Source organism: Homo sapiens, chromosome 1 (assembly GCF_000001405.40).
Source record: "Homo sapiens chromosome 1, GRCh38.p14 Primary Assembly".
Taxonomy (NCBI): Eukaryota; Metazoa; Chordata; class Mammalia; order Primates; family Hominidae; genus Homo; species Homo sapiens.
In genome coordinates this window covers 246,135,175-246,162,752 of record NC_000001.11, presented here as the reverse complement: position 1 = coordinate 246,162,752, position 27,578 = coordinate 246,135,175, and the positions used below count along the sequence as shown (strand labels likewise).

The 27,578-nt window shown below is 41.6% G+C and overlaps 1 protein-coding gene across 13 annotated transcripts in view, besides 2 other annotated features; it reads left to right on the top strand.

Annotated features, from left to right (window-relative positions):
- The window catches only part of SMYD3 (SET and MYND domain containing 3), a 757,933-nt gene that overhangs the window by 344,527 nt on the left and 385,828 nt on the right, over positions 1-27,578 (top strand). Inside the window, exon 1 of one of the 13 annotated variants that reach the window (XM_024449149.2) lies at positions 1-27,578. This exon is cut by the window's left edge and continues 6,628 nt beyond it. The exons of the other annotated variants lie outside the window; for them this stretch is intronic. The gene's annotated coding sequence lies outside the window, so the exon portion shown is untranslated. 13 annotated transcript variants of the gene reach the window in all.
- Positions 9,412-9,503: a transcriptional cis regulatory region, noted in NCBI's record as "SMYD3 Hub Enh region targeted for CRISPR interference". NCBI's record gives its function as "positively regulates SMYD3 gene expression in K562 erythroleukemia cells {active_cell/tissue: K562}" and the evidence as "EXISTENCE:mutant phenotype evidence [ECO:0000015][PMID:29507293]".
- Positions 22,064-23,263: an enhancer, noted in NCBI's record as "P300/CBP strongly-dependent group 1 enhancer chr1:246302792-246303991 (GRCh37/hg19 assembly coordinates)". NCBI's record gives its function as "activates an origin of replication core promoter dependent on BRD2, BRD4, P300/CBP, MED14 and CDK7 cofactors, with strong dependence on P300/CBP, by STARR-seq in HCT116 cells {active_cell/tissue: HCT116}" and the evidence as "EXISTENCE:reporter gene assay evidence [ECO:0000049][PMID:35650434]".

Here is a 27,578-nt window from a genome sequence, read left to right as displayed (position 1 = left end):
GACCATACCACTAGTCTCTGTACCTCTGAGTAACCCTCACATTGTATTGTACTTAAAGGTTTGAGGTGATTCTTAAGTAGGCATTGTAACTGAGAAATATAAGTTTCAGATTTTTGCTGCCACCAGCTGTTAGGAAGTGCTGGTTATTTTGTAATGATGCCTGAAAACCATGGACTCCTCAGCATTGTGAAATTTGGATTTAGGGGTAACACAAACAAAAATTCCAGATTCTTGAGGAGATAAGAATTTTAAATGATTCAAGAACATGCACACCAATTCTATTAGTTTAAAAATAATTAATATGCCTTACGTGGCAGTAGAGTTCAGATCAGTTGGCTGCAATCTTCAGAAATATTTATTTATATGGTGTCAACTTAGGTTGTCTCTGAGACACATTCCAATTGATACTTCTGCCTGCCTCTGACAGACTTCTTTTCCCAGAAACACCCTCCACATATGCTTATTCCTGTTAGCTTAACCTAGTTCTAGAATGTTCTTTTAGGGTAATTGAGGTAAGACTCTCTTTTCACTTAGCCAACTTGGAGTTGTTGGCATTTCAATTAGTGGTCATTGCGGGATAGCATTACTTCACTCATTCTCACTTTAGATACATTGCTCCCACCGACTTATGTTGTATAGTAGTCCTTCTCTGATAGATTCACCAAGAAACTACTGTTGCTTAGCCGGCCAGGTACACGTCCACACGCTTTGACCTCACTTACTGAACCCACAGCTCTGCCACGCTGTCCTCTTCTGTTCCTGAAACTCTCCAAGCTTGCACCCAGGCTGTTATCTTTGTAATATTTTTTTTACCCTCTTGCAACCAACACACATGCACTATTGCCTGGCAAACTCCTACTTCTAGGAGTTTTTGGCTTGAAGCCTGCTATTGGCTTAACTAGAGAAGAGTCATATGAAGGTCTGGAGAGAGGCCAGATAAGTCAGAGCTGTGCATTCAAAGAAAAATCAGGACTTGGGAAGACATGTTCCTGCCTGTCATTTGAAATATACTGTCATTGGCCAGACCTGTATTTGATTCTCTTTTTACATTTTAGAAGAACAATACTTTTAAGCCATACATTTGATAAGAATGATCAAACCACCACTTTGTTGCAGGTTTACTGCTAGGCTCTGTGGGTACATCTATTCGCGGAGAAAGAAAAGTAAATTAATAATTACAATAGAGCATGATATACCAAGGTGGAGGCATAGACGGGGGCTGGGGAACATGAAGGAGACCATCGAAATCAAAGGTGGAGGCCAGAGAAGGCTTCCTGGAGAAACGAGGCCTGAATTGCTTTCTGAAGAACTGGTAAAAGATAATCTGATGAAAACGGGTTCAGCCTGGAAGAGAGGATGCCTGAAATGGAGGGAACAGCCTGTGTAAAGATGGAAACAATCTAACAGCTTAGCACACAGAGAAAACTGTAAGTCACTCAGTCCTCAGTGAGTTTGAAGTGCACGCTGAAAGCTGTAGGGCCCCGGAGAAGAAGCCTCTTGGGAAAATAGGCCTTTACAACCACAGCAAAGACAGTCTGTCATGCTTGGCGGCATGCAGGTGAGCTGTGCCAGGTGTGCCAGGCAGGCTGCATGTTCATTTGTAGAGGACTCTGCAAATGAGGCGCAGGGTGGAGCGGGGTGGTGCTGCCAGTGAACAAAGAGAATGAGGCTTACCTAGAGCAATCGCTGGAACACCTGTCTTGTCTGATGGCATCGTCTCGCTTGTCTGATGGCGTTGTCTCACAGTCCCAGCCTGCATGTTGGTAATGTTCAGGGCGAGAGGAGTAAGCAAACAGCCCCAGCTTCTGTCTGCTGCTGCTCTGGAGAATATCAGAGTTGCTCTGCCAGGTCCCACAGGTTCTTTTACATTCACCATCTCTATTTAATCTTCCCAGATTTGAAAATAATGGTTTATCCTGGATGTGATCTGAAAGTATTTCCCCAATGCTTACCCACAGGAGTCACCCACAGAATCCTCACTCACTGCTGTCCCCCATGTGAGAGCTTGCTATAGCTCTGTGTCAGGAATTTGGGAACAGTGTTGCTGGTAATGTGGAAATCATGAGAGACGTCATGTGGGGTTAGACAGCAGCCACCTTCATAGCTCCCTGCCTTTCTCACTTCTCCTAGACCTCTTGATTCTCTGATTCCTCGGGAAACTCAATTACCTTTCCTTGATTATGCAGAGCAATTTAACTCTCAAACATCCTTCGGCTCTGGGCCCACCTTTGCACATTCAGAAGCTCATTAATGTTTCAGCACCGAGGAACTGGCAGGAGCTTTGACATTTCAGTGTTGTCTTTTCTCCCTCCCCAGGTATCTCAGAGTGAGAAGGAGCAGTATAGAGATCTGCTTTCCCACTAATATGAATTTTCACCCCAAACCTCAGCATCAGATGAAGATAGTCATTTTCAGTTTTAATATTTTTTTCTTCTATGCATATTAGGTAGGCAAAGAAAGACATAGAGTTCTCTCTATCTAGAACTTTGAAATAAATGAAAATATTAGAACAAATAAACACTTCCTATAAATGTGAGTGAATAGGACAGTAGGTAATAACCGGAATGGATTTGGAAGAATGGATTCTGTCAGCTCATACTCAGAGGCATATTGTTAAAGCAGGGATATGAAGACAGCAGCAGAGTACAGGGGTTACAGGCATGAATTTAGGAGTCAGATCAAGCTGGGTTATAATTGTGTCTCCTCTCATTCCTAATCTGTGAATTTAGCTGAGTCAACTTAACCTACTGAGTTTACTTCATTATTTGTAAAATAAAGGTAATATCACCAGGTAAAGTGGTGCACTCCTGTAATCCCAGCTCCTCAGGAGGCTGAGGCAGGAAGATCTCTTGGGCCTAGTAGTTGAAGACCAGCCTGGGCAGCATAGCAAGACCACATCTGGGAGGTGGTGTGGAGAAAAAAAAAAGTACTCCCCCCACTCCAGGACCTGGCGAGCCCTCAGTACCGGTGGCTCCCATTTCACTCACAGTCTTCCTGGGCTGTGCTTCCGTCGTGTTCCCTGCACTCCTACACCCTGGTCTTCTGTTTTACAAGCTGGACCTATTATCCCACAAGGGACTTCGCACTTGCCATGGCCCTGCCTAGGATGCTTCAGCAGACATGGCTTATCACAGGCCAGTGCCCATTCTTGCTTTCTTCCTGCTAACAGAGTTTCAATTTTTTTTTTTTTCGGGGCTACAAAAGGCCCATTCATGCCAGTTAAAAGCAAGAAACTTCCTTAGCTTTACTGTATCTGTGGGACAGTTTAGAGCAGATGTAAGTGAACACTTATGGGCAGGGCTTCTGGGGAAGGTACTATTTGCGGATAGGAAGGGACTGACTAGGCTGGCTAGACACACCCTGCCCTTCAGCCTTCCCCATTCTTCATCACTGGAAGGCTGAGTTACTGCTCAGTAGTAGAGCAGCCCCCGGTGAGCTACACACCAGGAGGGGCAAAGAAAAAGGTATAAGGAGCTTGGCTCCCTAATGGCATTGTGGGAATCCAGTGAGAAAAGGGACCCTTTCTGTGGGTAAATCATTTTATTTGGTATTCTGTTGAAAGCAGTGAATTTAACTCCGGCTATTACACGTGCTTTCCCCCCAGCACTTTAGAAAAACCTTTTTTAATGGTTGGCGCTCTCATTCTTCAGGACTCCATTGAATGTGACTGCCTCAAAGATGCCTTCCTTGGTCATTCCCTCTAAAGTAGCTCTTCTTCCACACGCTCGTGGTGTATTCTGTTTTATTGTCGCCACATCATGAACATTATCTGAAAATATCTTCTCATTTATTTACTTCTCGGTACTGCATATCTCACGCTGGGTAGAATTAAGCTCCATTGGAATAAGGACCTGGTGTATCTTGTTCATTGCTCTATCTGTACTGAGAACTATGCTGATGTAAAGCAGGTGCTCAGTAAATGTTTCTTAAATGCATACAAAACGTGTTATCTAGATTAAAGAGCAACTTTTTACATTTAATCAGTAGTTTGTCAAGGAGAGGAAAATTAAGGTGGAATTCATGGTGTTGGAGTGATTATATCCCTTTATATTTATATATTCTGGTTTGTCTGTATATTTATGTGTAAATATAATTCACATCAATAAATTGAGCACGTATTATGTGCTAGGAATTCTAAGCACCTTCTACCTTTTCATATTTTTCAATCAATAGTTTTATAAAAAAGAGTAAATATAAAAAGGTATGCTTTACTCTACGGGGTAGTTCTCAAAAAAACAAAGCCAATTTCCTCTTTTAATCATTGCGTATTTATTTATTTATCTGAAAGTGTTTCTTCAAAGTGAAAGTTGAAATGTGTAGTAAACTTTCAAATAGAACTGCATTTTGTCTCAGTAGAAAATTCTCCATCACATATATCTCAATGACTTTGTGTCAAAACCTACTATTTTACCTGTCAAGATGATCTTCTTCCCTTACTGTGCATTTCAGAGGATGGAAGTACATAGAATGAAATTTTAGTGTCAGATACATCAATTACAAACCAACGGAGCTGTTTCATTTTGCACCAATGATGGAGAAAGAGAGTCAGGGGAAGAATGAGTCTATTTTTACCTTAAAGTAGCAGCATTCAGGATAAGATGTCTTCACTTAGAAATCAGTCATACCCTCGACTGTGGATCAGTGCAGGCTTTAATAATTCATTCTGAAACCTGTGCTTCCCCAGCTAGTGCTCCCTGGCTCTTTACTTATTTAAAGGTCTGTTTACCTCTCAGTTTGCACCTGCAACTGTCCATTCAATCTGCTGTGCATAACCAGTGGGGAATAAGCCCATTAATTAGAATAATTTAAGCATCTCAGCTTCCTGCAATCTTCAACCTAGTGGGGTCTCACTGGCAACATACTTCTTTATGAAGCTCATCTCTCATCTGAACCACAGGTCTAGATCCTTAATGCAGTGATCAGAAGCTTGCGATTCTGTGGCACTTGAAAATTTGGAAGCCCCATAATATATGGTCTGGTTTGCAGATTCTCAACGCAGTTCCACTAGGGATTGACACACCCATGCTAGTCTCTTGTGTAATTAACCACAACAACAGATTGTAGCAGAATATAAAAGAAGGAAGCTGACCTATGGGGGGGAAAAAAGACAAAGCTTATTGTTGTGGCAAGGAGGGACTTCATTCTTTTAGGACAGGCTATCCAGGTGACCTGATAATGGATATAGAGGAATTCCAGTATTGAATTAGGCCTTTTGCATCTGACAAAGGACAGGATTAAAAGGAATAACTTGGGAGGGAATGTCTGTTGGCATCTGTTTGCTTGATGATCCACCCATGATGCCTGACCGGATGAGAGCCTGTCTTTGGGAAGCTCATGAGTTTATAAGAAACAGAATTGCTGCTGTTTCTTAAACTAGGCAGTGTTCTGGTGAAGAACGTGGGCTCTGGGACAAGAGGGCCATTTGCTGGTTGTTTTCTCTTGTCGAGTTAATTATCGCTCTGCCTCAGTGTTCTCATCTATAAACTGTGAGTAGCCAGACCTCCCTGAAGGACACTTGCTGGCAAGGCCAAAACACAAGCTACAAACAGAGGCCAAGCAGTGGAGGCAGGGGGCGCCCCGAAGGGACAGGTGACAGGCAGTGATGCCAAGGGCAGCTCTTGTCCTCGTCCCAGACTTCGCTACTCATTGGCTTTGGTGATGTAAGCGCTAAGTAAAAAGCTACTGCTGTTCCAAACAGATGTGAGGCGAAGGTTTAAGCTTTGCGGTCTGCGTATGACCTTTTCATCTTTGCCCTCGTACCTCCTAGCATCCCTTTCTTTGTGAATGGTGCCTACGTTGGATTGTTTATCCAAACCAGACACCTGAGTCATTCTAGGGTCCTTTGTGTCACCCACCTCCATGATTCAGCAAATCACTAAATACGGTTTGTTCGACCTTTTTACCTGTGATTTCCTTTTTAGTGTAGGTAATTCCTCATCAGCCTTCAAATTCAGCTCAAATATGACCTCTTAAGGGAAAGCATTCTGTGACTCTCCCTTTCGTAGTCTGATTAAGGTGCCCGTTTTCTTTGCTCCCCAAAACACCTTGTAGATATTTTAGGAAACACAGCATTTCTTGCAAATGTTAATTTAGTTTCCTCCACTAGACTCTTAAGCTCCTGTGGGCAGAGACTGAGTCCTATTTGGTTTTATATCCCTAATGGTTGGCATAGTGCCTCACAAATAACAGGCTTTTAATGTTTATTGAAGGAACCAAAGAAAGTAGGTTTCTGTGAGTTCACCTTGGATCATAACCATGATATAGAACTTATTTTTATGGGGAAAATATGTTCTTACCTTCCCAATAACTCAGAGTTATAAGCTTTAGAGTATTAGCAGATGTCATTCTAAAAGTTCCTTTCTTTAGAATCTAAATTATTTAAAAAACTTAATTTTGTGTGCAGGTAAATTGCTTGTCTCTGCCCTCATCAACATCCCAGGGGCAGGATTTAAAAAAATCTTCACGTTGTTGTTTTATTTTGTTTCACTTTTTTCTTGCCCATTTCTGATACAAAAATGGGACAAAGAGCTTTCTGATGGAAAGTTATTATTAGCTCCATTTACTAGAAATGATTCATAGGCCCAAGGAAGTCTTTTTGCATGTAGTAAACACATAGTAACCAAATTAGGTATGTGAGCCAAAGGTTAAGAGCCAAAGTCAAACTTCCAGACCTTAACATTAATTGAAAAAAAAAAATTCTGTCCTTCGAACTCTGTAGCTCAAGATAAATGTGATTCTTAGAGGTCGATATATTTTTTTTTTTTTGAAGACATAGTCTCGCTCTGTCACCCAGGCTGGAGTACAGTGGCACAATCTTGGCTCATTGCAACCTCAGCCTCTGAGATTCAAGCGATTCTCCTGCCTCAGCCTCTGAGTAGCCAGGACTACAGGTGCGTGCCACCACACTAGGCTATTTTTTTTTATTTTTTATTTTTAGTAGAGATGGGATTTTCCCATATTGGCCAGGCTGGTCTCGAACTCCTGACCTCAAGTGATCCACCTGCCTCGGCCTCCCAAAGTGCCGGGATTACAGGCACGAGCCCCTGTACCTGGCGAGATGTGTAGTTCTTGGTGCTAACTATGAGCATCTTTAGGGCATGAAGCAGATCTTCACTTCTGTATTGCCAGCATTTAGTACAATAAGTGTTTGGTGAAAGATGAACCAATAAGTGAATGATTGTATTTCCTTTTCAGCTTTCATGAGAAATTATGTGATGATCAGACTGTTTGGTTTGATAACCTTTTATTGTAAAGGTAGTTTTTGATTATTATAGAGCAGCACTGGTTGATGGGCTTGAAATTTTATATTTTTCTTTAATCAGCATATCTACAAACAATCAGTGGAGTATTCCTTTTGGGTTGCCATTTTGAAACAAGAAACGTATGGAAATAAGGGACGAACATTATCTGCTTTCTCTTGGCTGTGTCCTGAAAGAATTGGAATTTGCTGTGGAGCAAAAGCTAAAGATTAAGCAATATTTTTTTCTTTTTAAAGTAATACCAGTATAATTGCTGGAATTATTAGTAATAGTATTACTATTATTCATTATTAAATTTCTCATTTTATTTCAATCTCTCCATCAGGAATGACTTGTGTAGAGTAAGGGAGTTTGGGAGGGAAGAAAGCTAATTCATAAATTCATTTTTCTTGTTTAATATACTGTTTGTTTTGGGCCAGGCACGGTGGCTCATGCCTGTAATCCCAGCACTTTGGGAGGCCGAGGCGGGCAGATCACAAGGTCAGGAGCTCGAGACCATCCTGGCTAACACGGTGAAACCCTGTCTCTACTAAAAATACAAAAAATTAGCCAGGCGTGGTGGTAGGCGCCTGTAGTCCCAGCTTCTTATGAAGCTGAGGCAGGAGAATCACATGAACCCGGGAGGCGGAGCTTAGAGTGAGCCAAAATTGCACCAGTGCACTCCAGCCTGGGCGACAGAGTGAGACTCCATCTCAAAAAAAAAACAAAAAACAAAAAACAAAACAAAAAAAAAACATTGTTTGTTTTGATGGTAACTTCATGTATTTCATACATTGTCATTGTAACACATTAACTAAGTGTGGGGAACAATGAACAATAAACCAAGAGCTGTTTCTCTGTTGTGATACTTCTTGTTGCCAAATTTGTGGGCTTTCATAGTTCAGGAAATCTTCCTGCACAACTGCTTTGAAAATTACTAAATGTTAATTACTATTCTACTGTTTTTAAAGGAAAGCAGAAAACACTGCATCTGAAAGTCTATTAAAAGAAACTAGGAGGGCTATTGGTTTCAATTTCTAATAGCTTTATAGTGTGTCCTGGGCATCCTTCTGTGCCGTGAGCGGGGGTCAAATTCTGAAGACTTAAGCCCTGAAGCACTTTGCCGGTATAAACAGATCTCTCACTGGGGCAGATTACTTACCTGGAGCTGTATGGAGCAGGATCAGCTAGAACATTACACCTTTTATATCTTACTTTGCCAAAGGTATCATTCACTTAGTAAGAGAAATGTTAACTTTTTCCATAGTTAGTAGCGATAGAAGCAGAGCGGATGGCACAATGAAGCCATCGGAGCCTTTAAGGCCCTTATTATTTCCATTGATTCGTTCAGTGAATGTAGGCTGCGTGCAATACCACATGAGTGGATATAGCCAAAGCTATGCCAGATTGATTGATGGATTGCCTTTAGTAAACTTGCAGTGTAATGAGGCCACAGTAATGTAGAAGAGGGAGTGACTCATGTATGGGGCAGTAAGCAGAAAGGATTAAAGTCTTCTGCACTTTGCATTTAAGAGGTCATTAGAACCCACCCAAAGCAAGGGTAGATTTAGTGCCTAATGATGTCACAGTACATATTATGAGAGGTTGGAAATTTGGGGAAATGGAGATGATAGCAAGTATAAAGGGTTTTTTTTCTAGCAACCTGGCTATTAAGGGATAAATAAAGTGTTGTAGCTAGAGGTGAATGAGGTTAAAGGTGGGATTGTTTAAAATAGAAGACTTAGGCCAGGAGTGGTGGCTCACACTTGTAATCCCAGGCTTTGGGAGGCCAAGGCAGGAGGATTGCTTGAGGCTAGGAGTTTGAGACCAGCTTGGGAAACATATTGATACCCTGTCTGTATTAAAAAACAAACAAAACAAAACAAAAAAGTAATTAGCCAGGCATGGTGGCGCAGCTTCTGGGGAGGCTAAGGCAAGAGGATTTGTTGAACCCAGGAGTTCAAGGCTGTAGTGAGCTATGATCATACCACTGCACTCCAGCCTGGGTGACAGAGTGAAACCCTGAAAAGCAATCGGCCAATCAAAATATAAATAAAATATATTTCCCTCCCTCCCTCCCCCTCTCCCTCCCTCCCTCCCTCCTTCCCTATCTCCAGCAGGGTTTTAGGCTGAGGGGAAGTGATGAGTGGGAAGTAAATGAGACTGAAGATAAGGAAGTCCAGGTTATGACTGTAGGAGACAGAGAGGATGTGGAACACAGGAGAATGGATGGTCTGTGTAGGAGGACTGTTCCTCTCAAAAGTGGGGAGAGTTTAAAGGAGAAGGATAATGCTGTTTATGGGGGTTGGGTAGGAAGTTGGTAGCAGGGCTGTGGCTTCTGTTTTCTTTGTGAATTTGGAAGCAAGATCATCTGAGGGAGACGCACACACGCAGAGGCTTGGTGCTTGAGTAGACAGTTGGAAATTTGAGAGAACTTCTGCACCATGTGATACGGTTCTGGGCCCCATGCAGCTACAAGAGAAAATTGGACATCAGATATGTTGAGGAAACACTCCCCAGAATTTGTTGCATGATTTCCTCCATCAAAGCTTAGCAGCCTAGTGTTATAAAACATAAAAATTGCTAACATTTATTGAGTGCTTACTTTGTGCCAGGCACCTTACTGTGTAGTAACACAGTCCTCAAAACAGTGTGAAATAGCTCCTATCATTACCTATTTTTACCATCCCCATTTTGCAGATGTGGCTGAGAAAGGTTAAATCTGGGTGACAGGATGAGACTCTGTCTTTGAAAACAACAACAAAAATACGTAATGTTAATTCCAGGTTAATTTATTTCTATAAGGACACACTCACGTAGTGTAGCCTGATCAGCAAAATGAAATTTGCTTTCATTCAAAAGCCTTTATTGAGGAAGTATATCTAATCGAATGAAATTGTTTGTCTGCTCTTTAGAATGAAATTACATGCAATTAAATGAGAAAAATCTTCACTCAGTGCGTAAAACATAGCAAGTGTATGGAGAATATTGGTTCCCTTGCCTTCCTCTGCACTTGCTCTGAGTGAGCAGCTAGACTGAGGTGGCATTAGTTTCAAGGCACATAACTCTTGCTTTACCAACTTATAATTGCTCAGGATGAAAATAGCAACAACATGGTACTTCCATGCTCGGTCTTCACATAGCCAATGACAAGCTCCTCCAAGTCAGTTCTGAGTGTCCTTGTGGCTGATCTGTGGACTACACCCTTGTCCCCAGGATGTGTTAACAAACACTCTCTTCCCTCCACTTCTCTACATCGTCATCCCTGCTCTCCAGACGCCAGGTGTCCCAGGCTGCCTTTTCTCTCCTCTGGATGTGGGCTGCCTGCCGGGAGCCTCTCTTATTTTGTCACCCAGGCACTTTCATGTTTGTTTTCTGCTCCAGCAGCCACTGGGCTGAACCCTTCACTTCCAGGGAGCTTGTTTTGTTTCACAGACTCCAGAGGAAGTAGTTCCTCCTTGAGCTCCCAGAAACAGCGTTCTCAGTGAAGTAGTTTTTCATTTATTGTTGTTTTGGCCCCCACATCCCACAGTGCTGACCTCTGACTCAGGGGTTGGAGTTGTCCACTTGAAATTTCCTTCTTCTATTTCTCCATTTTCTTTTGACCAAGTCTGTAAGCATTTGCTTCTTCCCATTACTTTCTCCAGAAGATCTCGGCTCCTGCCACAGGAAGGTCACTGGAAAGCAGGCCTAGTAGAATGCCAGACAGGCCTACATACGCCTGAATCCTTGGGAATGCACAGCTAGGCTCTGAAAATACCTCTGTATGGTATTGAATCTACTTCTGGGGTTGAAACGGGCCTTAAAGATACTTGGGTAGTTAAAGAAAATTATTTGCTCATCTAATCAAGTGATGTTTGAATCTGTCTGCTGGTGGAGTGAGGACTGTGGAGGAAGGATCGACAAATATTTATTGAGTAGATGCTGAATGTGACACTATAGGCTAGGTCCTTTTCAAAGAGTTTTTTATTTTTTCTTTGTTCCAGTAGTCTTTCAACATAGGTTTGTTATCCTCATTTCACAGATGGGAAAACTGAAGGTCAAAGAAATTAAAGTTACTTGGTTCATTGCACTAAGTAGCAGAGCCAGGATTTTAAACACCTTGGCCATGAACCCCATACTTTTTGTACCATATCAAAAAAAAAGGGAGTTAGATTCATTATCTAACAGGAAGTCCATCTATCCTGCTTGTAGAAGGACAAAATGATATTGAAAGTAGGGGGCTGTGGGGCTATTTTTTCCCCTCAAGGAATTTTTTTTTTTTTTTTTGAGACAGAGTCTTACTCTGTTACCCAGGCTGGAGTGCAGTGGCACGGTCTTGGCTCACTGCAACCTCTGTCCCCTGAATTCAAGCAATTCTCCTGACTCAGCCTTCTGAGTAGCTGGGATTACAGGTGCCCGCCACCGCGCCTGGCTAATTTTTGGATTTTTAGTAGAGACAGGGTTTCACCATCTTGGCCAGGCTGGTCTTGAACTCCTGACCTCGTGATCCACCCGCCTCGACCTCCCAAAGTGCTGGGATTACAGGCGTGAGCCACTGCGCCCAGCCAAGGAATATTTTATGAGTAATAACTTCTCTAGAGTATCATTTCAACCTGGAGCCAGCCATCTGAACAAGCCTTCCTCCATCTCTTTTAGGATGGTAAGCTGGGGCATGATGTTTAAGACTTCTTGGCTCTTTGGCAGGGCTCTGGAGGGGAAGTGAGTAAGCCATTGGGATGTCACTGTGGTAATGTGGACAGGGTTTTCTGGTTTTGTCTCCTTCCCTGTGGCCTTTTTCCATGTCCCCCCAACCCCTGGACTTCCACGGCTGGGCCAGACATTTCCCTTCTTAGACAAATAGACTCGCTTCATCCCCTCCATAGCTGCAGAGGAGAAATCCTTGGTTTGGGTCCCAGTTTTTCCATATAGGCTATTCTTGTGCTTTATGCAGACAGAAACATTAGTACAGTATGTACAGAATTAGCAGTATAGTAATAAGTCATTTTAACCAACAGATGTAAAAAATGCTTCAGCATACCTTTGTAATACTAGGCCTGATTACAGAATGGGAGTGGTCTGTATAAGTGAGCTGTGGTAGAAAATACAACCCTTCAGAATAAGTTAAATGTAATTAACTTCACTTTACCAGAGTCATTTTTGTTCCCACAGTTACCCGAGTACTAATTTCTAAACTTGATGTGTCAAGAATGTGGCAGAATGGTGTCAACTTAATGGCCAAGAAATGTGATCTGTTTTGAAAGAGAATGGAATATTATAGTCTATAGTACACAAGAATGGAATATTATAGTTTATAGTATACTTTCTTTGAGTAACATTTCTGTGAACATTGAAATTGGGAAAGAAGATTCTGTTATTTTCTTCTGAGACTTAAGAGAGTATCACATTAAAGTGGCAAATTTGTGTTTATGCCAAATGTTACTGTGATGTTTTCTTCTATAGAATCAATCCCTGTAAGGTAAGTTAAAAAAACAGAATTTCTTTCTCTATAGCTGCGGATGCAAAAGAACAGAGAGATTAAATTAACTTGCTTGTACATATAGAAGTTAATGGTTGTTTCAGATAAAGAATGTGTAGAATCATAAATTTCTTAGGACATGGGTTAAATGGCAGACAGAGGAATCTTTGGGTTACATTGTAGACAGAGGGGTGATCTTTGCATATGAGCAAGTTTTGTGTCTTATAGGTGGTGCTTTCAAGGATGCTCCTTAGAATCGTGATCTCTATTTTGAAAGGGATGAGGATTTGATGTTAATTTAATATTCTGTCTACTTGGCATATTTTGGGGTTTTGTCTGATGTAGCAGAAAAGTTCCTACCCAGAATAATTTTTAAAACATGGTAACATTGGATTAGGGCAGTAACACACTGCTCATCTCAATAATGCTTCCGGCTTTTGAATTCATTAAAATAATAAAAGCTTTTTTTTATCTGCCTCATTATTTTTAATGCAGTTCCATCATAGAGCAGACTTAATCCCTTTGTTGGTGAAGGTAGTTAAAATTTTCCTTTTGAAAGGAAAAAAAATTATCACTTCTGCTAGTTAATCTGATACCTTTCTCTTTAGGGTATTTTGAAACATATTAATAAAGACAAAACTAAAACTAAAATTGAGGATCAGTCACAGCAGAGTGAGAAACATGGCATGGCATTGTGGTAGATGGAGTAGAGGCCCAGTGATGGGGACAGGAATCCTAAATTCTAAGTCGAGCCCTGCTCTTCATTAGCTAGGTGTCTCAGACAAGCAGTCACTCAACATTTCTGCATCTCAGTTTCTTCGTAGAGAAAAGAAGGGTTTTGATATAGATCTCCATGGTTCTTTTTAGTGCTAATTTTTAATCATTTAATTGAAATGCAAAAAGAGGTATTTTAAAAATCAGGCCTTGCATATTTTTCATCTCTACTGACCCCACATCCTCCTCCAGCTACTGTCACATTTCTAGAATTTTCTTTCGAGAAATGATTCTCAAATGAGGCGTCTACTCCTTGTCTCTAACTGCATTGCCAAACATAGTTTTCTGACATCAGCTGCATTTGTCCTGGGACCCACCCTGAGTTGTAGGGTTTTCCTGCCACTCACCTGAGAACTCCAGGCTGAGCCTTCAAGTGCACTAAGCTAATTAAGTGCTGCAGTAACTCTGCCCTGGTGTCCTCTGATGGCACAGTTGCAACAGATGCATTGTCTTCTTGCTTATTAACAAGTAAAGGGCTGATCCCTGGAAAATGTTGGGGAGGGGGTTAGGATGGCAGTTGTGCTTTTCGTTCCAGAAGTCACTTAGTCATCTTTTCTTGGAGATGGCCTGTATACCTTGCCTAGCACAGTGTTTGTTGAACAGCAGGCATGTATGCCTAAGAGATTTTTCTCCATCTTTTCTTCCTCCCTCCATTTTCCTCCATTCTTTGCCTCCAAATCATAGTGTTATGTGATCTTCGGGGTGTCGCTTTTCTGGCCGGAAACCTCTGTGGCTGGTGGCACCTTTGCCCGTTTTTGTCCTGTGTCCAGGAAGAATGAGGTACTCAGAGAAGTGGAAGGTGAAGAAGATGAAGAGGAGCTTTATTGAGTGTCAGAACAGCTCAGAGGAAGCCCACTGTGGGTAGTTCCTCTCTGTAGGCAGGTCATCTAGTGGAGTGTTGAGCTCTCAGCAGAGAGGAGGCCCTGGAGATGGTGGCTCCTCTTCACAAGCAGGCCGTTCAGACATCTCTGCAGGTCTCTGAAGCTCTCAGCAGAGGGCAGCTCCTCTCTGTAGCTGGTTCGCCCATTGTCTCCACGTGCCCTGCTCTGGCTGAGCCTGAGGCTTTTATGGACCTCAGAGGGGAGGAAGTTCCTGCCGATTGGCCCATGGTCCTCCATGTGCACCCAGACGAGGCACCACAAGTCCCCACTCCGGTCCCGGACTGGCATCCTGGCCCCCAGCCTTCAGGCCCTCCCTGGTCTGAAGGAGGGGCCTTACGGGGACTGCCGCCTTCCACCCAGGAATCTCTCTGCCTCCTGCTGCCCCGGGCTCGGCCCCAACCCCGGTCGGAGATCAGAGCAGGCATCTGGAGAGGAGAGGGGCTGGGAAGCGGGAGCAGACACCCCCGAGCCTGCAGGGATGAAGTGGGGGGCGGGTCTTCCCGGGCCCTCCAGGGTGCAGGCTGCAGAGATGCCAGGTCTGCACCTGCGGAGTTCACGCTCCACCAACTCAGTAAAGGTGGGGCTCCCTCTTGTCCCTGGCTCCTGCCTGCTCGATTGAGCGCGAAGCCCAGGTCTGCAGCCGCAGCAGGGAGGCTGCAGCTCTACCCTGGAGGGCAGATCCTGTCTGCTCCCGGCCCCCACCAAGAGCACAGGGAAGCTCCGATCTCCAGCATCAGTTTGGGCAGCTGTAGCCCCACCCAGGAAGGCGGGGCGCCTGCCTGCTCCATAGAGCAGGAAGCCTGGTCTGCAGCCACGATTTGGGTGGCTGCAGTGGCACCCACGGAGCCCCTGCCCCAACCCAGAATGGGTGAGGCTCCCACCGCCTCCATGGAGTGTGCAGCCCTAGCCGGCCTCCCTGTTGCAGCAGCAGCTGCCATCAATAGATGGAATTACAACCACCGAGCACGTCCTGATTCACGTGACTTTCAACATGTTATAAAGGCATACTCTTCATGGGGGCTGTTTTCTAGCTTCTTTGTCTCACATCAAATGAGGGCTGCTCCCCTGGCTGGACCTATGGCTCCTGACATGACTCCCCGGAGGTGTGGCCTTTCTCCAGCAATAAATATCGAAGCTGCTGCCGTTCCTGAAGGCGAGCCTTTCCTTGGACTGGGAAATTAAGAGGGCAAGATCGCCTCCCTTCCCCTAGGGTTTGCCGGGGCAGCGTTGTTTACAGTGAAAAATGTGCCATGCAGCCTCAGTTTTAACCTGACCAGCGAACATATGGACTCGGATGGAAGCAAAATGGTGTATTGTAAATACTCCGGGTGCTTCCGCCACCAACGCAAGAAGCGAGGGGGAATCTAATTATTCTCGAACAGATTGTCCTCTGCCGAACACTGTCACGCCTGCCTGCCGATTAACAAGAAAACGGCCTGTCTCTAACTCCAAAAGCCACACACAACCGTCTGCAGGCCCCTGTGTCAGTTTGCTGCAGTGATTGGACGACACCATCAACCTTCACCAAGGGAGGAACAGTTTGGAGAGTTCTTGAAATTTTCAGCTGCTGCTTTCTTTCTTCTCTTCTGCCATCCTTCCCCTTCCTCCTCTCAGAATTGGTGCTGTTGTGCCAATTCTAGGTGAATTGGAGTATGTGGCTCTGGCTAGCATGGGTGTGTAGGCCCCATTATTAGATTCCTGGGCAGTTTGCCTCCTTTCTAGTCTCTGCTTCCCAGACTGGTTCTCCACACTCCGCTTCACTTCTAGTTTATTCTGTCTTCCTCAAAACTCACCCCCAGGACGGTCTTCTGTTAGTCTTTTATGCCTTACCCTGCACCGGGTCTGCATACCCTCCATTCTGAGAAAGCCAATTGTGTTTACTGTCTCCTCTTTAACTGCTGAAGGAAGGATGGGTGTTGGCACTTGGCGGAGAAGGAGGTTTGTTTGGACAGAGGTCTCTTTCCCAAACCCTTGTCGTTAACTCACATGTGCAGGTACGTGTTCTACTGAGGTCAGGCCATAAGCATTTTCTTCTTTTTGGTCCATTTACAGTTCTGTAGTTTGATTCTTTGATATACAAATGTCCTGGGTTGCTGGAAATCCCTAGAAATTTTAGTTTTAAGAAAAGGTCATAAGCTGTTTTAGTACCTGGATTCTTCTAAAAAGTTCATGTTTATTCACTTCCCTGTTCTTCCTGCATGGTGCACCTTTAGGCTGGTGTATTTTCCTTATCGGAGAACATGGCATGCTTTCTTGTCTTGCCCTTTATCTATTTCTCCCAGATAGGTAAGCTCCCTGAGGGCAGGGATACCCTCTACCTTCTTGCGATTATATCCTCAACAATTGGCACTTCGATCAGCCTGTGAATACTCAATAACTGTATATTAGAAAATAATGACTGAGCCTGCTTTAAGAGTGCTTTAAAAGCATTAGGGTTGAATATGAGTTTTGAAGTCAGACAGACCTGGAATAAAATTCCTTCCTCTACTCCTTAATATCGGTAAGACTCTTTGACCTTTCTAAGTCTCACTTCCTCATTTGTATCAGATTCGATCTTGGATTGTCACTAATTCAATAATAGCTACTAACATATATTGACCACTTAGTTTGTGCCAGGCATTATGCTTAGCAGTCTACATGGATGGTTTCATTTAACCTTCGTGATGTCTGTGAGATGAATGCTGTTTTTTTAATTAGCTGCTTTTCTCAGGTCGGAAAGTCAATTTAAGAGGCTTACGCTACTTACTGAATGTTACACAGCTAGAAAGTGGGCTGAGTTCACACTCGGTCACCTGATTGCCAAGCCTGTGCTCTTAAGATCTCAGGTTCATTGAAGGCAGCAACATTTGGTGAGTATATAGCAGTTAATCAATAATCAAAACAAGTAAAATGTAAGAACAGCACTTTAAAACTTGTCTTTAATCCAGTGAAGCTCAGATGCCTATATTGCCTTTTAATTGTCTAAGCACTTGCACAAAATTATCTAATATGATCCCAACAATTCAGTATTATTAGTCAAATTTAATATGTAATAATTGGGAGAATAAAAGCTATTTATTGAGCTATTCGCTGCTGACACTACATACATTATAACTAATATTCCTGACAGCCTTTTGAGTTAGATGTTATACCGCTTTCATTTTGCAAATAAGAACCAGAAGCTCAGAGAAGTTTCTGAACTTGATCAAGGTCACATTGTAGCTCAGATTAAAATTTGCATCTGAGCCAGGCATGTGTAGTCTCAGTAACTCAGGAGGCTAAAGCAGAAGGATCCCATGAGCCCAGGAGGTCAAGGCTATAGTTTACTATGATTGAGTGTGTGAATAGCCACTGTACTCCAGCCTGAGCAACACAGTGAGACCTTGTCTAAAGAAAGAAGAAAGACAAATTCAGATTTTCAAGCCTGTGTTCTTTCCACTATACAAAACTATTAGGATGCTTTCGTGAGGCGGTGGGGAAGTTGACTTTCTGGAAGTTTTTTGCTATCCAGATCCGGGAAACCCGATTCGTGCTTCCTGAATTAGCTCTGTTATATACATTGCAGAGTAAATTCTGTGTCCCTAGTCTTCTGTGAAGTGGGAACATGGTGCCTGTGTCCAAGTGTTTTATCTCTTTCCATTAAAGTCAGCAGTTTTCCAAAGGTCTTGTTTATGAAGGTTATTAGTTATGCAAAATGGGCCTTTATGGATAGTTCTATGAAATGATTCCAATTAAAAAGAAGTGGGTAGATTGCCAGTTGGTGTCAGCTAATTAAATTATGATATGCTCCTGTCATTAACAAGGACTCTGACTGGAGGAAAAATAAAAAGATAAAAGCAAGTTTCTGAAATTTGTTGACAGGGAGGGTATATTACTTTGCCCATTCTCATATAATTAGAAGAATAAAACAGGAGCTTCCCATTTTGTATTTGAAATAGGGAAATCTGTTATTACTTTCTTCTAGGGTATAATTAATCAAGTTCAGCTGCAGTATTTTAGATGTTATGGTGAAATGGAGTTTTATTAAAAACTGTAGTTTAATAATAATGGATCAGTTGTACTGACATTATTGCAAACATAAAAATGAGCTTCGAATACCAAAAACACATTCAATAAATTTAATTGAGAAGGGGCTGTGTTAGAATTTTTAGGCTGGTTCCACGTCAGTGTTTGCCATGAGTAAGAGAAGACATTGGTACCCAGGCTTGCCCTGAAGAGTGCCAGGGACATGGCGGTAGCAGCATCCCGATCTTTAGTAGTCCTCTGGCGGGTGTATCCGTCAGCTCTTGTCAGCTCGACAGGGAGGCTGTCCGTCCAGGTGAGGAGAGCCTTGCCGGGCTGCAGTAAGTAGCTTATAAGTACAGTCAGGGAATGGAGAAGAAAATCTCCAGCTTTTCCTCCAGCTAAAGTTATCAATCTTTACAGGTACTTCTGGAAGCTGTTGGTTAGCCATGCTGCTGTTGTGTGAGGAAACGAGTGCCTGGCTGGAAAGCACAAGGCTTTGGGAAAGTTACTTTTTCTGCATTAAATCAAATGTTCAATATCTTGATCCTGTGCCCTTCTGTGAGGTGATGTAGTGGAGCATTCTTCTAGACATATAGGTAAATGGTGTTGACCTAACAGATGGGAGGATCCAGAAGCATAGAGGCTGGGATCCCAAAGCATGAATAAGCAGAATCTAGAATTTAGACCTTACTAATTTGACATTTATGATGATTCATATAGTGCTGCTTTGATTGATTGATTGATTGATTTGAGATAGGGTCTCGCTCTGTTGCCCAGGCTGAAATGCAGTGACACAATCATGGATCACTGCAGCCTTGACCTCGTGGGCTCAAGTGATCCTCCCACCTCAGCCTCCCAAGTAGCTGGGACCGTAGCCACATGCCTCTATAGCCGGCTGATTTTTTGTATTTTTAGTGGAGATGGGATTTTGCCACATTGCCCCGGTTGGTCTTGAACAAGCTATCCACCTGCCTTGGCCTCCCACAGTGCTGGGATTACAGGTGTGAGCACCATGCCTGTCCTGCTTTGACTTTTTTTCTTTCAAAATGTGTTATGGAGAGAACTGACTTAGAATCCTATTGTATACCCAAGACTGCAAGGACACTGTTTAAACTTACAAAGAAAGGCACCTGTTTTGAAGCCTTTGGGAAGACGTATTTCTTGCAGTAATGCATGATTCACTAAGAGTCCCTATCCTTTAAGCAGGTCCCAAGACCCTCTACACTGTTAGTCTAATTGGAGGATGCATGTTTGTGTGTGTGTGTGTGTGTGTGTGTGTGTGTGTGTGTGTATTAAATATACAACTGTATTTCCATTAAAAAAGATAATGTAATCCAGGTTAGCTTTTTTGCCTGTTAATTCACATTAGTGAGATTTTGTTGTCCATTGTGGTGGCAATTATTTCTTACCATTCCATGTGGGTCTTACACAATTAAGAGAGGCTGGTTGCACAGCCAGACTTGCACAGAACTTTCTACCCTCGTGTTTATCTCCATGAAGAAGCTGCCAAAGGTTGGAACTAAGATCACCAAGCCCTTCTTACTTGTCTTCACACTAAACATGCTTCATGATGTTCTGGCCAATTTGTGTTTGTAGGTGTCCAGAAAAGAGCAATATACTTACGAGAACTCTCTACTGAAAGTACAGCAGTGCCCCCCTTATCTGAGGTTTCATTTTCTGTGCTTTTAGTTACCTTTGGTCAACTACAGTCTAAAAATATTACATGGAAAATTCCAGAAATAAACAGTTCATAGGTTTACAGTCGTGCACTGTTCTGAGAAGCATGATGGAATCCCGTATCCCCCGGGACATGAATCATTCTTTCATCAAGCGTATCCATGCGTATACACGACCTACCCATTAGTCACCTAGCAGTCACCCTCAGTTATCAGATGGAGTATTGCAGTCTCACAGTGCTTGTGTTCAAGTAACCCTTATTTGACTTAATAATGCTCCCAAAGTGCAAGACTAGCGCTGTCAATTTGGATATGCCAAAAAGAAGCTGTAAAGTGCTTCCTTCAGTGAAAAGGTGAAAGTTCCCGACTTAATAAGGAAAGAAAAAAAAAATACGCTGAGGTTGCTAAGATCTACAGGAAGAAAGAATCTATCCATGAGACTGTGAATAGTATATTATTATAATTGTTTTATTAGTAATTATTTTTGTTAATCTCTGTGCCTAATTTATAAATTAAGCTTTATCATAGGTATGTATGTATAAGAAAAAGCATAGAGTATAGAGGGTACAGTACTATCTGTGGTTTCAGGCACCCACTGAGGGTCTTGAAATGTATCCCCTAAGGGTAAGGGGGACTACTGAATCGAGAAGAGAGGTATCCTTCTGGTGCTAAAGAAAGAAAAAAGAATGTGGTATACTGAGGTTCAAGGCCGGTGATGCCTGATTCTTAGTGACTGCTATCTTCTGAGCAAGTTCTTTTTGCTTAAAGGTAATTTCTTAAATGTGAGAGTAAGGAAGAGGAAAACTTTGAAAAAGAGAATGAACCCAAACATAATTTGACTTCTTTATAGGAAACTTAACTTTGTTTCAAAATAAGTCTTTCATTGCTTCCAGCTCGACTCTGCTTCCACTGAACATAGAACTCAATCACCAGGGTTTAAACAGCAACTAGTGCTGTATTCCAGGAGATGTGTTTACTAAATGGAATCTTGAATGTTTTTACATTGCTTTATGAATTCTGGACTGTTTAATAAATTTAAATGAAGATTTTTTTTAAATGTGTTTACGTTGGCATGTTAGTCATTTACTGCAGAATTTTGAGTACATTCAGGGGGGCTGTGGTTCTGTAAAGGACTTACCACAGTTTCTAGCACACTGTACATGTTTAATAGACATTATGCTGCTGTTGCTTTTGTTGGCTACCATAACTGTGAAGGAGAGAATTGAGGACAGTAAAATGAAAGTAAGTAATCATAGGAATGCACCATCTGTCAAGGTGTGCTTAAGACATTAAAATTCCTTTGAATATCCGTACAAATGATAAAATTTGAGAAATAATTGTTTGTCTTTGTTTTACCATTAGGCTTTTTGGTAGCTGTATCCTGTCGCCCTGTTCAACATTTGCTCATATCGTGTGGAATTCAAATCCTGCTAGATCTTTTGCAGAGTTTCCAGTTCTGTTGTGTGTATACAGTGACAGCTGAGTTCAGTATGGGTTGTTAGAGAGAGTTGATTTCCAAGCCAGATACTTTTGGGTTCAAGTGACTGCTCCCTTATGTATTAGCTCCATGTGACCCTAAGACATTTAGTGTCCTATGAACCTTTCTGAGAATTGTTCTGAGTTTTCCTGACAGAGTCACCAGCTTCAAGAAAAACATAGCAGTTGAACGGATAGGTCACCTGAATGAAGCCTGCCCACTTGGGTAGCCCCTGACAATACCTCTACTGTCATAAGTTATATAAGATAGTAAGTATTGATCCTAAAGATGGTCCTGAATTGCCAAGGAAGATAGACTCCACTCTGCTAAGCCAGTGACCGTGATGTGCATTTGAAACGCATTTCCTTCCAGCTGGGCTTGGTGGCTCAGTTCTGTGATCCCAGCAACTCAGGAGGCGGAGAGGGGAGGATGGCTTAAGGCCAGGAGTTCAAGAGCAGCCTGGGCAACATAGTGAGACTCCATCTCTAACGGGGCATGATGGCATGTGCTTATAGTCCCTACTACTTGGGAGGCTGAGGCAGGAGGATCACTTTAACACAAGAGTTTGAGGCTGCAGTAAGCTGTGATTGTGCCACTGTACCCCAGCCTGGGTGACAGATTGAGACCCCTATCTCTAAAAAATAATAAATAAATAAATAGCATTTCCTTCCAAATGGGCGGGATAAAAAGGTTTGATGCTTTAAAGTATAAACTTTAATAGGAAAATAATCCACCACGGAGCAGTTCCTTCAATGAAGATGGTGGACACTTCCGTTCTCTGTTGCACAGCTGCAGTAACTGCTAGCGGTACTAATACTACTGGTGCTAGTACTAATACTAAAGCTAACATTTGTTGACCTTATATTGTTGCTAGAAAGTGTAAGTCTTTCATTTTTTCTTAGTCCCAAAGAATACGTGTACAAGATGAATACCACTAATAATTTTCCAGAGGAGGAAATAGGCTTAGAGAAAAGTGTCTGGGCCAAAATAATGCACATCCAAAGCGGTGGAGCTGGAATTTGAAGCGAAAGGTCCTGATCCCCAGAACCCATCATCCTTTTACCTGTTTTACCAAGCATTTCAGCAGAAACCTGGCACTTGTACCTCATTGACCATTACTGGCAAGTCTTCTCATTTGTATATATGTGCATTCTTCATGATCCTTTTGAAAGAGATCTTGGTTTAGATAATATTCTTATGTAACTAAAGAATGATTTGTCCATTCTTATGTTTTGTCTTCGATCAACCAATACATGATGAAAAGAATATCTTGATGAAAGGGAGAACTGTGTCATTGCAGAGTGAAATATGGGTGATTCATATCTTAATGAAAGGGAGAGCTGTGTCATTGTAGAGTGAAACACAGGTGATTCATATCTTTGTGCGGACTATCCATGGCATATTTAAAAGCTTAGATCAGCTGCTCTTTCCTTTCCAGCAGGATTCTTTGCTGTCTTCTCAGAGTGTGATGAAATATTCAATTCTTTTAACATTAGCTTGAACAAAACAAAATTGGAGAAATAGCCTGTCATTAAGGCCTTCTATAACCCACCATTGTTAACCATCTTGGATTTTCTGTGTAATATTAGCACATATCAACAATTTTTAATTTAAAATTCTACATGTGTAACTATAAAATCAGAATTTTTCATTTTTGTTAAAGAAATGTGTTTCAAACTCAGCTTCTTGAATGCTTATGGCATGCAGTTTGTTTTGCTGTGAATTGACAAAGGGAATTACTAGAAAAAGAGAAAAAGAGTGCAGAGTTTGCTAAATTCCTTTCCTGGAAAATAGGGAATTGATAGTTGAGAAATGAAAGTGTGTTATAAAGCTCTTATAACACCCACTGGAAAATAATCATTAAATATTAGACAATATGATTGGATTAGGAATGTTTTAGGTAGAATGAAGTCAACCAAGTTCTGTTTTTCTGTGTGGTCTTGAGAAAATCTATGTATTGAAATACTCATGTTAGCCTCCCATTTTCATTAGATATATTTTATAAACATTTTTTGGTCCATTGAGAAAGACCCTTTATAACAGAAGGTTAAAAGGTTAATTTTAGGTCTTTGGTCTATGAACAATTAAAATTTCCCAGGAAGCTTAATCAGACATTAATGTAACACTCAATCAGTCCCCTGAACCTGCTGTGAGTTTCGCCATTACTCCTTATTGATTAGACTGTATTCTTTTTGCTGCTAATGAATTATTTATGGAGGATTCCTTGAGAGTATTCAGGCATTGTGAAGGAAGAAGATAAAAACCCCTTCCTCTGTATAGCTCAGGCCAGGGGTTTGGTGGCTGCTGTGACTGATTGTGAAGGCTCTGTCCCCTGGGTCCCTGTTGTCTTAACTGTCCTGCAGCTTTACAAAGTCTTGAGTTACTGAGAGAAGATACAAAAGGGATTAGATTATGTCTAGCAAACTTGACAGACCTGAGCATTTAGAAAATATTTTCCACATGATTTGTTTATAGAGAGCGGTACAAAGAAATTTAGGTACTGTGCAAAGTATTTAAACTTTTTTTAAAAATAAATTTTTGGCTGGGCGCGGTGACTCATGCCTGTAATCCCAGCACTTTGGGAGGCCGAGGCGGGCGGATCACGAGGTCAGGAGATCGAGACCATCCTGGCTAACACGGTGAAACCCCGTCTCTACTAAAAATACAAAAAATTAGCCGGGCGTGGTGGCGGGAGCCTGCAGTCCCAGCTACTCGGGAGGCTGAGGCAGGAGAATGGTGTGAACCTGGGAGGCGGAGCTTGCAGTGAGCTGAGATCGCGCCACTGCACTCCAGCCTGGGCGACAGAGCGAGACTCCGTCTCAGAAAAAAAATAAATAAATAAATAAATTTTTAAAATAGTTTATAGGAAGAGATGAACTGACCAAAATGCAGTCAGGTTTTTTGTTTTTTGTTTTCAGTTCGGGCTTTATTTTGTTTTAAATCCTAGAAGCTTAGTATTATGAAAACAACTGTTTTAATGCAAATATCTTTCATAAGTAGTGAGCGAATATATACGAAGAGGGTGTCTTGTTCTCACAGTGCAGCACTCGGGGCGGAGTGAGGATGGGACAGAGGAGGACTGTGCACAGCCTCGGTGCTATGTGTAAATTTAGTCCCTTGGCCCTATGCACAGAATGAGGAAAATGAGTAAGACATACATACTATATTTTTATTCAGCTGGATTTAATTATCTTAAGGAATATCTTTTTATCATTAAAGGTATTTTACATTTTTAACAGAAATAAGAAAAAAAATTATGTGTTTGTGTGTGTAATGGGGGATGACATACAAAGCCTAAATGAAATTTGTTCTAAAATTCAGGGTAATAATCTCTGAGAGGAATTTGGAGATTTCCTTTTTTTTTAAATGTGTGCTCCCAAATACCAAAGAGCCATTCCAAAACTCAGTAGTAGAATTATATACAAAATGTAATGGAAATACCTTCTTAGATGACTTTAAAATGGAAAAAGAAATCGGCTTATCCTATAACCCGCTACTTCCGCCCAGGGACTTGCAGAGAAACACCTGTGCGTTCTCAGAACTTGTTTCACTCTGTAGGGTGGAGGGAAAAATCGATCATGATCTAAGGCTGTGGTTGCTGAATTGGGTTATTAGTTGTGCACCATCTACTTTTACCGTCTTTTGATCTGGCCACTATATTTAGGTTGTTATGGTATCCAGTGGGGAGAAAAACAACTTAAACTTTTGCAATTGGGAAACCAAGTGATACTTTAAAAAACTTAATGAACCTTGAAAATTGCTACTCACCGTGTGAGAGTAAAAATGTCGCATCAGGTGGGTAGCAAAGAAAATTGTCTTGATACTTCCTGCATTCTGACAATATTTCTTTGGCAGATAATCATGTATCTTTTACTGAGAGTCTGCTTTGTGCAGATACCCTTATATTGTCCTTGTATGCACTTTGGGGAGATACATAAAGGAGAAATTAATATTAAGATTAAAACATGTGAATCCCATGGACTCAGGTGAGGAGAAATGGCGAGTAACCACTAATAGGTCCAGAGTTTCCTTATGGAGTGATGAAATATTCTGGAATTACATAGTGGTGATGAGTGTACAGTTTTGCAAATATATGAGAAACAACTGAATTGTATACTTTAGAAGCATGAATATTACAGCACGTGACTTATATAACAATTAAAAAAACCCAAATCCAAAATTCTAGTATATGCATGATCAGAAAAACAACAACCCAATTGCTTAGCTCGTAGTCCTTGGACCTGTTGTAAGACTTCTGTTTCTTATCCTCTGCCTACTGTTCCCTGAATGATCTTCCACAGTGACTGATTTAATAGAGTTAAAAACTTTCCGTGAACTCTCATTGCTTTTAGTTAGGTCTGTGCATACAGTTGGGCAGACTGTGCTCTGCAGAAGTCTAAGAAATGTCTTTCTCATTCTGCTTTTTTGGATGAATTCAGACTCATTACATGACATTTAGGACTGTCTGCATCTTAGTTCCAGCCTACCATTCAGCAACTTCATTCATTTATATGCCCACTCATTCACTTATTCATTCATTTTATTTGTATGTTCATTGGTTCCTATGTTGGTTCATTCATTCATTTACTCACTCATTGATTCATTTAACTGTATTCCTTATCTTGCCTACTGGTTGTTATGTTCTCCCTGCCCAGTCTGCAGAGCCCATGCTGTACATTGTCTCAGCCTTTTTCCCACCTTCTTCCTCCAACTCCCAGATATATTCTCAAGGCCCTGCTTCTATCCTGCATTTTTTTGCACCTTTCTTTTGCCATTACAGAGTTGTACTTTTTTTCTTTAAGTGCCCAGTACATAACAAAAGAAGGTTCTATCTCAGATGGGGCAGCATTATTCACAACTGTCTCCGGGCTCCTCCATGAGGTGTCTAAGGTGTCTACCTTTCTTTCAACTTTAAAATCTGAACATGATGGACCTATGCTTTTGGAATTGGGGGTGGGTAGCCAACTAAAAAATGGAGAGCCACTCTTTACCTGGATAGCTAATTTTTATGTTATTGTAGGATAATAACCACAAATCAAGGCACAGCTACCTATTAGAGCTGGCCTGAAAGCTTTAAATTCTGCAGAATGTGTTATATGTGCCATTAACTCCAATCTGTTGGTGCTAATTTGAAATGGTGGTTTGGGAACATGTGCAGTTCCTGGTGTACTTGAAGATTTCAGGACATGAATGACAAACAGTACCAATAACTCTCTGATCTAACAGTGAGAAGTTATCAGCAGGCACTGCCAGATTTGAGAATATTCATCTTTTCTCACATTGTTTTCTTTCTTATTTTGCATAAGTGAATAAAGGATGATTTTGGAAAGCCTTACACTTGATATACATTATACAATCCTAGAGGCCTTTAAAAAACAGGACAGAAAACTTACTTGAATGCTTGAAAGGTAATGGACCAGATTAGAGTTTGAACTAGATGACTCTTAGCAGTTCCTTCTACTTGGATGATGTCATATGCTTCTCTTTTATTTAAAATGTCATTTTGGTTTGTATATTAAAACAATTTTAGCTGTATATTTCTACTCTGTTCATATATAATATGTATACATTATGCATATATAATATGTATACATTGTATACATACACGTATGTGTGTGTGTGTGTGTCTGAGACAATTGCCAGACTCATTTTAATTATGAAGCTTTAAGGTGATTGATATTGGGATCACTTTTGCCTCTGCATCTTAAGCAAATTTATGTTCTTTGCCTAATGACTTCTATATTTGCCAGCATGGACTTATCTTGAGATGACTCAGGAATGTTACTGGAAGTGATAGTTGTTTGGAATAATTTGACGCATGTCCCTAAGATGGCTTACTTTTGCCCCTCTGTCATTTTAGAACATACTTAAGCTGTGCACACTGGGATAGCTTCCAGAAGCTTAAATTTTAGGATTTAATTAGGTCATACAATATTAATTAATAAAAAACTTTTTGAATTGCTTTGTGTTCGCAGGTACTGTGTCTGATGCTCCACATAGAAGGATGAATGGGACCAAAGGTCCTACTCTAAACCATTCACAGAGGAGTAGTGAGACCTATTAGAAAGGATTTGAAACAAAAGCTTTCAG